Source organism: Homo sapiens, chromosome 7 (assembly GCF_000001405.40).
Source record: "Homo sapiens chromosome 7, GRCh38.p14 Primary Assembly".
In the NCBI taxonomy this organism is placed as follows: domain Eukaryota; kingdom Metazoa; phylum Chordata; class Mammalia; order Primates; family Hominidae; genus Homo; species Homo sapiens.
This window is the reverse complement of record NC_000007.14, coordinates 92,914,275-92,927,236: the sequence shown is the minus strand read 5'-3', so window position 1 is coordinate 92,927,236 and position 12,962 is coordinate 92,914,275. Positions and strand designations below refer to the sequence as shown.

General features: G+C 40.1%; 1 long non-coding RNA gene across 3 annotated transcripts in view; it reads right to left on the bottom strand.

Annotated features, from left to right (window-relative positions):
- Positions 1-10,049: 10,049 nt before the first annotated feature.
- Positions 10,050-12,962, bottom strand: part of CDK6-AS1 (CDK6 antisense RNA 1) — an 80,705-nt gene continuing 77,792 nt past the window's right edge. For all 3 annotated transcript variants that reach the window (NR_110086.1, NR_110087.1, NR_110088.1), the window contains one exon: positions 10,050-10,400. This is a non-coding gene — a long non-coding RNA (CDK6 antisense RNA 1). The remainder of the gene's footprint in view (positions 10,401-12,962) is intronic.

Below are 12,962 nucleotides of genomic sequence, written 5' to 3'. Positions count from 1 at the left end.
GAATTATCCTTAGCCTAACATTAAATATATACCAGGACCTCCATAAATACTTGATAGCTAAAGAAATACAGAACAACTCTTAAGATTTTGTCAAGGCTGGCAAGATGGCCAAATAGGAAGAGCTCCAGTCTGCAGCTCCCAGCAAGATCGACGCAGAAGGTGAGTGATTTCTGCATTTCCAACTGAGGTACCCGGTTCGTCTCACTGGGAATGGTTGGACAGTGGGTGCAGCCCACGGAGGGTGAGCTGAAGCAGGGCAGGGTGTCACCTCACCCGGGAAGCGTAAGGTATCAGGGAATTTTCTCCCCTAGCCCAGGGAAGCCTTGAGGGACTGAGTCTGAGGAACTCCAGCACAGATACTGCACTTGTCCCATGGTTTTTGCAACAGGCAAACCAGGAGATTTCCTCCAGTGCCTACCCCACCGGGGCCCTGGCTTTCAAGCATAAAGCTGGGCGGCCATTTGGGCAGACACATAACTAGCTGCAGGAGTTCCTTTTTTCCATACCCCAGTGGCACCTGGAACGCCAGTGAGACATAACAGTTCACTCCCCTGGAAAGGGGTGCTGAAGCCAGGGAACCAAGTGGTCTGGCTCAGCGGGTCCCACCCCTACGGAGCCCAGCAAACTAAGATCCACTGGCTTGAAATTCTCGCTGCCAGCACAGCAACAGTCTGAGATTGACCTGAGACATTTGAGCTTGGTAGGGGGAGGGGCATCTGCCATTGCTGAGGCTTGCGTAGGCGGTTTTCCCCTCACAGTGTAAACAAAGCCCCTGAGAAGTTTGAACTGGGCGGAGCCCACTGCAGCTCAGCAAGGCTGCTGTGGCCAGACTGCCAGATTTCCCTTCTCTGGACAGGGCATCTCTGAAAAAAAGGCAGCAGCCCAAGTCAGGGACTTATAGATAAAACCCCCCATCTCCCTGGCACAGAGCACCTTGGGAAAGGGATGGCTGTGAATGCAGCTTCAGCAGAACTTAAACTTCCCTGCCAGATGGCTCTTAAGAGAGCAGTGGACCTCCCAGCACAGAGTTCAAGCTCTACTAAGGGTCCAGACTGCCTCCTCAAGTGGGTACCTGAACCCCATGTATCCCGACAGGGAGATAACTCTCAGCAGGGGTCGACAGATGCCTCATGCAGGAGAGTTCTGGCTGGCATCTGGCAGGGGCCCCTCTGGGATGAAGCTTACAGAGGAAAGATCAGGCAGCAATCTTTGCTGTTCTGCGGCCTCCACTGGTGATACCCAGGCAAACAGGGTTGGGAGTGGACCTCCAGCAAAGTCCAGCAGACCAGCACCAAAGAAGCCTGACTGTCAGAGGAAAACTAACTAACAGAAAGGAATAGCAGTTCCACTCAAAGACCCCATCCAAAGGTCACCAACATCAAGGACCAAAGTTAGATAAATCCACAAAGATGGGGAGAAACCAGTGCAAAAAGGCTGAAAATTCCAAAAACCAGAACGCCTCTTCTCCTCCAAGGATCAAAACTCCTTGACAGCAAGGGAACAAAACTGGACAGAGAATGCATTTGACGAATTGACAGAAGTAGGCTTTAGAAGGTGGATAATAACAAAACTCCTCCGAGCTAAAGGAGCATGTTCTAACCCAATGCAAGGAAGCTAAGAACCTTGAAAAACGGTTAGACGAATTGCTAACTAGAATAACCAGTTTAGAGAAGAACATAAATGACCTGACGGAGCTGAAAATACACAGCACGAGAACTTCGTGACGCATACACAAGTTTCAATAGCCAAATCAAGCGGAAGAAAGGAAATCAGTGATTGAAAATCAACTTAATGAAATAAAGAGAAAAAACAAAATTAGAGAAAGAAGAATAAAAAGGAACGAACAAAGCCTCTAGGAAATATGGGACTATGGGGAGTTCCAAGATGGCCAAATAAGAACAGCTCCAGTCTACAGCTCCTAGCATGAGGGACGCAGAAGACAGGTGATTTCTGCATTTCCAACTGAGGTACAGGGTTAATCTCATTGGGACTGGTTGGACAGTGGGTGCAGCCCACGGAGTGTGAGCTGAAGCAGGGCGGGGCATTGCCTCACCTGGGAAGAGAAAGGGGTCGGGGAATTCCCTTTCCTAGCCAAGGGAAGCCGTGACAGACGGTACCAGGAAAATTGGGACACTCCTGCCCTAATACTGCGCTTTTCCAACAGTCTTAGCAAACGGCACACCAGAGATTATATCTTCTGCCTGGCTGGGCGGGTCCCACACCCACGGAGCCTTGCTCACTGCTAGCACAGCAATCCGAGATCGAACTGCGAGGCAGCAACGAGGTTGGGGGAGGGGCATCTGCCTCGTTGAGGCTTGACTAGGTAAACAAAGCAGCTGGGAAGCTCGAACTCGGTGGAGCCCACAGCAGCTCAAGGAGGCTCCCTGTCTCTATAGATGCCACCTCTGAGGGCAGGGCATAGCTCAACAAAAGGCAGCAGAAACTTCTGCAGACTTAAACATCCTTGTCTGACAGCTTTGAAGAGAGTAGTGGTTCTCCCAGCATGGAGTTTGATATCTGAGAACAGACAGACTGCTTCCTCAAGTGGGTCCCTGACCCTCGAGTAGCCTAACTGGGAGACACTTCCTGGTAGGGGCCGACTGACACCTCATATGGCCAGGTACCCCTCTGAGATGAAGTTTCCAGGGGAAGGATCAGGCAGCAACATTTGCTGTTCTGCAGCCTCTGCTTGTGATACCCAGGCAAACAGGGTCTGGAGTGGACCTCCAGCAAACTCCAACAGACCTGCAGCTGAGGGTCCTGACTGTTAGAAGGAAAACTAACAAACAGAAAGGAATAGTATCAACATCAACAAAAAGGACACCCACGCCAAAACCCCATCTGTAGGTCACCATCATCAAAGACCAAAGGTAGATAAAACCACAAAGATGGGGAGAAACCAGAGCAGAAAAGTTGAAAATTCTAAAAACCAGAGCACCTCTTCTCCTCCAAAGGATTGCAGCTCCTCACCAGTGATGGAACAAAGTTGGACAGAGAATGACTTTGATGAGTTGACAGAAGTAGGCTTCAGAAGGTTGGTAATAACAAACTTCTCCAAGCTAAAGGAGAATGTTCGAACCCATCGCAAAGAAGCTAAAAACCTTGAAAAAAAGATTAGAAGAATGGCTAACTAGAATAAACAACGTAGAGAAGACCTCAAATGACCTGATGGAGCTGAAAACCATGGCACGAGAACTATGTAACACATGCACAAGCTTCAGTAGCAGATTCGGTCAAGTAGAAGAAAGGGTATCAGTGATGGAAGATCAAATGAATGAAATGAAGAGAGAAGAGAACTTTAGAGAAAAAAAAGAGTAAAAAGAAATGAACAAAGCCTCCAAGAAACAAGGGACTATGTGAAAAGTTCAAATCTACATTTGATTGGTGTACCTGAAAGTGACGGGGAGAATGGAACCAAGTTGGAAAACACTCTTCAAGATATTATCCAGGAGAACTTCCCCAACATAGCAAGGCAGGCCAACATTCAAATTCAGGAAATACAGAGAACGCCACAAAGATACTCCTTGAGAAGAGCAACACCAAGACTCATAATTGTCAGATTCACCAAGGTTGAAATGAAGGAAAAAATATTAAGGACAGCCAGAGAGAAAGGTCGGGTTACCCGTAAAGGGAAGCCCATCAGACTAACAGTGGATCTCTCAGCAGAAACTCTACAAGCCAGAAGAGAGTGGGGGCCAATATTCAACATTCTTAAAGAAAAGAATCTTCAACCCAGAATTTCATATCCAGCCAAATTAAGCTTCATAAGTGAAGGAGAAATAAAATCCTTTACAGACAAGCAAATGCTGAGAAATTTTGTCACCACCAGGCCTGCCTTACAAGAGCTCCTAAAGGAAGCACTAAACATGGAAAGGAACAACTGGTACCAGCCACTGCAAAAACATGCCAAATTGTAAAGACCATCGATGCTAGGAAGAAACCACATCAACCAACGAGCAAAATAACCTGCTAACATCATAATGACAGGATCAAATTCACACATAACAATATTAACCTTAAATGTAAATGGGCTAAATGCCCCAATTAAAGGACACAGACTGGCAAATTGGATAAAGAGTCAACACCCATCGGTGTGCTGTATTCAGGAGACCCATCTCATGTGCAGAGACACACATAGGCTCAAAATAAAGGGATGGAGGAAGATCTACCAAGTAAATGGCAAACAAAAAACAGCAGGGGTTGCAATCCAATCTCTGATAAAACAGACTTTAAGCCAACAAACATGAAAAGAGACAAAGAAGGCCATTACATAATGGTAAAGGGATCAATTCAACAAGAAGAGCTAACTCTCCTAAATATATATGCACCCAATACAGGAACAACCAGATTCATAAAGCAAGTCCTTAGAGATCTACAAAGAGATTTAGACTCCCACACAATAATAATGGGAGACTTTAATACCCCACTGTCAACATTAGAAAGATCAATGAGACAGAAAGTTAACAAGGATATCAAGGACTTGAACTCAGCTCTGCACCAGGCAGACCTAATAGACATCTACAGAACTCTCCATCCCAAATCAACAGAATATACATTTTTCTCAGCACCTCATCAAACTTATTCCAAAATTGACCACATAGTTGGAAGTAAAGCACTCCTCAGCAAATGTAAAAGAAAAGAAATTATAATAAACTGTCTCTCAGACCACAGTGCAGTCAAACTAGAAATCAGGATTAAGAAACTCACTCAAAACCGCTCAACTACATGGAAACTGAACAACCTGCTCCTGAATGACTACTGGGTAGACAATGAAATGAAGGCAGAAATAAATATGTTCTTTGAAACCAATGAGAACAAAGACACAACATACCAGAATCTCTGGGCCACATTTAAAGCAGTGTGTAGAGGGAAATTTATAGCACTAAATGCCCACAAGAGAGAGCAGGAAAGATCTACAATCAACACCCTAACATCACAATTAAAAGAACTAGAGAAGCAAGAGCAAACATTCAAAAGCTAGCAGAAGGCAAGAAATAACTAAGATCAGAGCAGAACTGAAGGAGACAGGGACATAAAACCCCTTCAAAAAATCAATGAATCCAGGAGCTGGTTTTTTGAAAAGATCAACAAAATTGATAGACTGCTAGCAAGACTAATAAAGAAGAAAAGAGAGAAGAATCAAACAGACGCAATAAAAAATGACAAAGGGGATATCACCACCAATTGCACAGAAATACAAACTACCATCAGAGAATACTATAAACACCTCTATGCAAATAAACTAGAAAATCTAGAAGAAATGGATAAATTCCTCGACACATACACTCTCCCAAGACTAAACCAGGAAGAAGTTGAATCCCTGAATGGACCAATAACAGGCTCTGAAATTGAGACAATAATTAATAGCTTACCAACCAAAAAAAGTCCAGGACCAGATAGATTCACAGCCGAATTCTACCAGAGGTACAAAGAGGAGCTGGTACCATTCCTTCTGAAACTATTCCAATCAATAGAAAAAGAGGGAATCCTCCCTAACTCATTTTATGAGGCCAGCATCATCCTCATACCAAAGCCTGGCAGAGACATAACAAAAAAAGAGAATTTTAGACCAATATCCCTGATGAACATCGATGCAGAAATCCTCAATAAAATACTGGCAAGCCAAATGCAGCAGCACATCAAAAAGCTTATCTACCACAATCAAGTTGGCTTCATCCATGGGATGCAAGGCTGGTTCAACATATGCAAATCAATAAACATAATCCATCATATAAACAGAACCAAAGACAAAAACCACACAATTCCCTCAATAGATGCAGAAAAGGCCTTCAAGAAAATTCAACAGCCCTTCATGCTAAAGCTAAAAACTCTCAATAAACTAGGTATTGATGGGATGTATCTCAAAATAATAAGAGCTATCTATGACAAACCCACAGCCAATATCATACTGCATTGGCAAAAGCTGGAAGCATTCCCTTTGAAAACTGGCACAAGACAGGGATGCCCTCTCTCACCACTCCTGTTCAACATAGTATTGGAAGTTCTAGCCAGGGCAGTCAGGAAAGAGAAAGAAATAAAGCGTACTCAAATAGGAAGAGAGGAAATCAAATTATCTCTCTTTGCAGATGACATGATTGTATATTTAGAAAACCCCATTGTCTCAGCCCAAAATCTCCTTAAGCTGATAAGCAACTTCACCAAAGTCTCAGGATACAAAATCAATGTGAAAAAATCACAAGCATTCCTATACAACAATAGCAGACAAACAGACAGCTAAATTATCAGTGAACTCCCATTCACAATTGCTAGTAAGAGAATAAAATACCTAGGAATACAATTTACAAGGGATGTGAAAGAACTCTTCAAGGAGAACTACAAACCACTGCTCAAGGAAATAAGAGAGGACACAAACAAATGGAAAACCATTCCATGCTCATGGATAGGAAGAATCAATATCATAAAAATGGCCATACTGCCCAAAGTAATTTATAGATTCAATGCTATCCCCAACAAGCTACGACCGACTTTCTTCACAGAATTGGAAAAAACTACTTTAAACTTCATAAGGAACCAAAAAAGAGCCTGCATAACAAAGAAAATCCTGGGCAGGAAGAACAATGCTGGAGGCATCAGGCTACCTGACTTCAAACTATACTATAATGCTACAGTAACCAAAACAGCATGGTACTGGTACCAAAACAGATATATAGACCCATGGAACAGAACAAAGGCCTCAGAAATAACAACACATATCTACAACCATCTGATCTTTGACAAACCTGACACAAACAAGCAATGGGGAAAAGATTCCCTATTTAATAAATATTGTTGGGAAAATTGGCTAGCCATATGCAGAAAACTGAAACTGGACTCCTTCCTTATACCTTATACAAAAATCAACTCAAAATGGATCAAAGAGTCCCTCCTAGGACCATAAAAATCCTAGAAGAAATCCTGAGCAATACCATTCAGGACGTAGGCATGGGCAAAGACTTCATGACACCAAAAGCAATGGCAACAAAAGCCAAAACTGATAAATGGGATCTAATTAAACTAAAGAGCTTCTGCACAGCAAAAGAAACTATCATCAGAGTGAACAGGCAACCTACAGAATGGGAGAAAATTTTTGCAATCTATCCATCTGACAAAGGGCTAATATCCATAATCTACAAAGAACTTAAACAAATTTACAAGAAAAAAACAACCCCATCAAAAAGTGGGCAAAGGATATGAACAGACCCTTCTCAAAAGAAGACATTTATGCAGCCAACAGACATATGAAAAAAAGTTCATCATCGCTGGTCAGTAGGGAAATGCAAATCAAAACCACAAGATACCATCTCACACCTGTTAGAATGGCAATCATTAAAAAGTCAGGAAACAACAGATGATGGAGAGGATGTGGAGAAATAGGAATGCTTTTACACTGTTGCTGTGAGTGCAAATTAGTTCAACCATTGTGGAAGACAGTGTGGCGATTCCTCAAGGATCTAGAACTAGAAATACCATTTGACCCAGCAATCCCATTACTGGGTATATACCCAAAGGATTATAAATCATTCTACTATAAAGACACATGCACATATATGTTTATTATGGCACCATTCACAATAGCAAAGACTTGGAACCAACCCAAATGCCCATCAATGATAGACTGGATAAAGAAAATGTGGCACATATACACCATGGAATACTATGCAGCCATAAAAAAGGATGAGTTCATGTCCTTTGTAGGGACATGGATGAAGCTGGAAACCATCATTCTTAGCAAACTATCACAAGAACAGAAAACCAAACACCACATGTTCTCACTCATAAGTGGGAGTTGAACAATGAGAATACATAGACATAGGGAGGGGAACATCACATACCAGGGCCTGTCGGGGTGGGGGGCTAGGAGAGGGATAGCATTAGGAGAAATACCTCAAGTAGTGGATGGATTCGCGGGTGCAGCAAACCACCATGGCACATGCATACCTATGTAACAAAACTGCAGGTTCTGCACATGCACCCCAGAACTTAAAGATAATTTTTAAAAAAATAGAAAAAAAAGAAACACAGAACAATCACAATTAATAGGAAATATGAAGTATGAAGACTTGGAAGTTATAAAATTGATGATCAAGATAAAAGTCTATTAGGTGTGATGGAAAATTTTAACGACAAACTTATAAGACAAACTGGTTAAAAAGGGGCAGAAACAGAGTTGACCAACACACTGAGCCATAGCTTTTTCTGTGTTTCCTTTTATCATGGCTGTGGCTTTCTGACACTCTGCAAAACAAGGCAAATGTCTTATTATGATTGCTAAACAGACTAACCCAGGCTCAGAAATAATCAGTATTATTTGCAAGTGATGGTCACATGTGTGCTCATGCATCCAGAGTTGTAGCTGGCATTTTATGAAATGACACAAAAGATTCTGTGCATCTTCAATTTTCCAGATTTAATGAGTGTCTTTTCAGAACAGAGGACTGTTACAAGAATGGTGGAGAGATATCAGGAAGGTCATTCCCCTTTCCCCTGGGGAGCTTTAAGCATGTATAGTTAGGATGAATCACTTATATCCATGCACAATTAAATAGGTCTGCTGCAGAGCAACCTGTGAACAAATGCGGGTCAAAATATCAGTATGTGTATCCATGTTGAAGTGATGCTGATAAACAGGAATAAAAAGAATCAGGTGGAAGGTTTTCAAAACAGTATCAGTAAAACTGATGAACTTAATTTCATGGGGAGGAAAGGGTAAAATATTCTAGCATATGCAAAGTTATGGAAGTAGAAGCAAATACTTCATCACAGTCTACCTCATCACAGTGGAATAGTATGTTTTATTATTATAATCGTTATTAGTATTCCTATTTGAGAATGGGAGATGGCTGAACATGTAAATTAACCTGCCCCAAGTCACATAGTGAGTTACCAGTGCAGCTAAAATAAGTGATATTTTAGGAACAGTTTACATCATGAAACACTGAAGCTGTATATTTTTTCAATAAATGATAGTACTCTAGGTAGTTCTTAGACAACAATGAGTAGAAACTAAACTATATTTTTAAAGGGCTTACTTAATAAATATTGCAAAAGATAGGGCAAAGAGCTTTCTTATTCCCCTAGTGAAGAAAGCCAGGGTATTTTTTTAAAGGAAGAAGAATCATTAACAGTATTTCCTGAAGGAGAATAAAGCCTTCCAGCCTGCATCAGAATTCCACATTACTACCCGAATTCTAAGATTAAGGGTGTGTTTTACCCACACCCTAGATTTTTGGGAACACAGGCTCAGCATTATGTAAGGTCCACTAAGGAGGATAATGTGACTCTTCTCTTTACGGGAAAGCCCTTATCCTGATCTTATATATATATATATCATATATATATATATATATATATATATATCATATATATATATATATATATATATCTCATATATATATATATATCATATATATATATCATATATATATATCATATATATATCATATATAAAAATCATATATGAGTCATATATATCATATATATGATTCTATCTATATAGCAATATATAGATATATATTTCTATATATAAATATAGAAATTATATATATATATATATTTCTTTTTTAAATGCACTTTATCCTTTAGCCAAACTGCCAGATCACTCAGATTGGCACACATCTATTTATCTCTACTGTCAGCTCCTGTAAATGGTAGCATTTACCCAAGACAGAAAAATCTCCTGGAATAACCAGTATACTTGTTTCAATAATCTGCAGAGCCATAAATGAGAATGATTCAGAATAGAAGAGTAGCTGGTTTCAAATACTATTTCATTTTCCTCCCAGCCCACTACTAGAGTCTAGTACACTACTGTATAGTGTGGGCCTTTGTGGAGGCTTCTATTTCCCACCTGTATTTCTTTTTCTTTTTCCAGCAACAGTCTGCCTTTGTGCCAACTCCTAAATAACCATAAATTTTGTTCTTATAAACCTTAATGAATGCTTGGCCAAGATGCTGTAACTATTGGCTTCTATATTGGAGCATAAATGGAAAGGGGGAAAAAAGTGCACTGTGAAAAACTGGATAAAATGGAAAAAAGATCACAGCAAACCCAAAGTCGCAATTTGCCTTTAATGTGAAGGAGGCCTTGTTTTCACGGTGTGGCAGCTTTCAGGGGTTTTAATCTCAAAGTGGCTGATCAATTTAAGGTAAGTGGCAGGCATTTGGCCTGGTTCCCAGGCTTTGCTTTGCTGCTCTGAGAAAAGAAAGGATTCAGTCAGACACACAGACAAGAGGCATCATCAGCGGCTCCCACATTCCAAGCATTTTAACACAGATTAGGTTGGCATGATTCTACTGTTTACTGAAATCTCCTAGGTGTTGCATTTTTCCTTTTCCTTGCTGCAGTTATCCAAGATGGTTTTCTCAGGTCAAGACCTTCATATGCCAAATAGCTTGCAGTGCTGTGAAGGGAAAAGAAGAGCAGAGGTCAAGACTTCTGATTAAAATGCTATTTCACTTGCTTGCTGCAAAATATGAGACTTCAGACAGCAGGTAATTGAGCACTGAACTTTTTGCCTAAGGCATACATTGAGACAGGAACTGTTTTACATGCATGCCTGAGGGGGAAAAAAAACAAAGATAATTTCTTTAACAAGGACAAACTTAATTCAACTAGGAATGCCCAAAGGATTAACAGGGTGATCTGTAGTTATTCTTGCTTCAGATTTTATAAGCATGAGGCTTACAGATAATGTTGAACAAGATTACAACCAATATAGTCCATTTTTAAATTAATATTTTTACACCATATACTCTTTATTTTTTCAAACAGCAATATTAAATGAGTTCAACAGACCCCTTACCACTGTCTCATCTTCTTAGCAAAAGTTAATTTTTTAATCCATTTGACCTATAACATAGGTTAAATAAAATATGCATTCCATCGATTAAGCCAAAAAACAAATAAATTGTCTCTCATATATTTTGGCTATATTATACCATATAGAAAATTTGTATTTTAAAATACATTTTCACAGTTTTTAAAGATACTTTGCCTTACTTTAATATAATCAAGAACACCTTCCCATTAGTCATCTTCATGGCAGATCTCCTCATGTTTTATTTCTAAGAATTTTATCAAAATAAGAAACTACTATAGATTTTTAAAAGTAATTTTTCTAGCTATTATACTTTTCAAAAGCAATGTTGAATTATTACACTTACTATACCTAGAAATGCCTTCCTAACATTTCATACATTTACATTGACTTATTTCTTCCAAAACTAACACATGGTTGCACTTGAGTAACTTATATTAAGAATAAGTGTTCTTCAAAAAAATTAGCCAGGCATGGTGGCAGGCGCCTGTAGTCCCAGCTACTCAGGAGGCTGAGGCGGGAGAATGGCGTGAACCCAGGAGGCAGAGGTTGCAGTGAGCCGAGATCACGCCACTGCACTCCAGCCTGGGTGACAGAGCGAGACTCCATCTCAAAAAAAAAAAAAGAATAAGTATTCTTGTTTGTAAGGGTTAGCTTAGAAACTAATGCAACTATAACCAGTTATCTTAACTTCAGTTGTTATATATGCAAGTGTGGCTTTTAAAAAATAATATATGACTTTTCACTGATTAAAGAAAAAAAATAGAGTCAGAAAAGAAGCAGCTAGCAACCGTCCTTCTGCTGTTGCCGCATATGTCTTATCAACCTGTGATACTTGTCAACATGTGATACTTGGAACTGCAGCAGCCATCTTGCGAACATGAAAAGAGCCAGCCTAAGAGGCCTAGCTGAAGTGCTGAGGATGGCAGACAGGAAAGATGGAAAAAGTATGGTTTTAAATTATGTCATTGAGCCATTGAACCAACAATCCTGGGTCCACTCAACTTGAGATTTCTTCTTATGTAAGATAATAGATTCCCTTTCATTCATGCAATCATATTTGTTGAGCATCTACCATGTCCCAGACCCTATTCTAGGTGTCTGAAGTAGCTCAGTGAACAAAACACAAGATCCCTACCCTTGTGGAACTCACATTCTAGCCAAGAGAGATTATAATAAACTAAAAACGTTAAGTAAGAAAATTCTATAGTATGTTAGGAAATAGTAAGCAGAAAAAAATTGATAAGAGGAGCATGGCAAAAAGAATCAAGAATGCTAGGATCAAAGGGACAGGTTTTGATGTTGAATAAAGTGAGAATTTGGCTTCACTGAAGAAGTGAGATTTGAACAAACACTTGAAGGAAATGAAGGACTTATTTCTTAAGCCAGTGGAAGATAGGTTGTATTTTTCTTATTGTTGACAATCCTCTAAGTGAGAGAGAGATATGGGAAGAGAGAGAAAGACAGAGAGAGATTTGGGATAGTGTCTGATTCCAGCTCCTCTTTGATTCTTCTTAGTTCCAGTCAACCAAATGACTTTTTCCTTTGCTTAAGTTTCGGCTGGGTTTCTGTCACTTGTCACTTGAAGACAGATTAGTAAGTTTTCGTTAGTCATAAATAAACTATCTCTGGTTCCAGGAACAGCCAGCCCAAATAGATATTGAGCCATAATTCCATCCTCTGTATAAAGAGCTTTATTGCCCACACTGGGGGTGTCCAGGCATCCATAAAACATGGCCTGTGAGGTTTTCAGCTTCCCAAGTGGAGTGAGAAGATGCTCAGGACTGGGGGGGGAGCTAAAAAGAGAAGCTCTATTTTGGGACTGGTAGTAAAAATTGATGGGCATATTCTAAAAGGGTAAATCTGCAGGAAGAAAGGTAAAATAAATAACAGAGAAAAAGAGGTGAACAACTAAAAAATGTATACTGTACCTAGGAGATAGGAACAGAGAACACTAGCTAGAAGCAACATCTCCCATTTTTTTGTAAAATGGGTTCAATGAGAATACCTACCTCATAAGACCCTCACAGGGTTATTGTGATTAAATGACATAATGCATGTAACCACAGGGCTATGATTTGGTAACTGTTCCATAAAAATTGGCCATATACCTTTACTATATCTATTTGTATTTGGTTCTTTTTG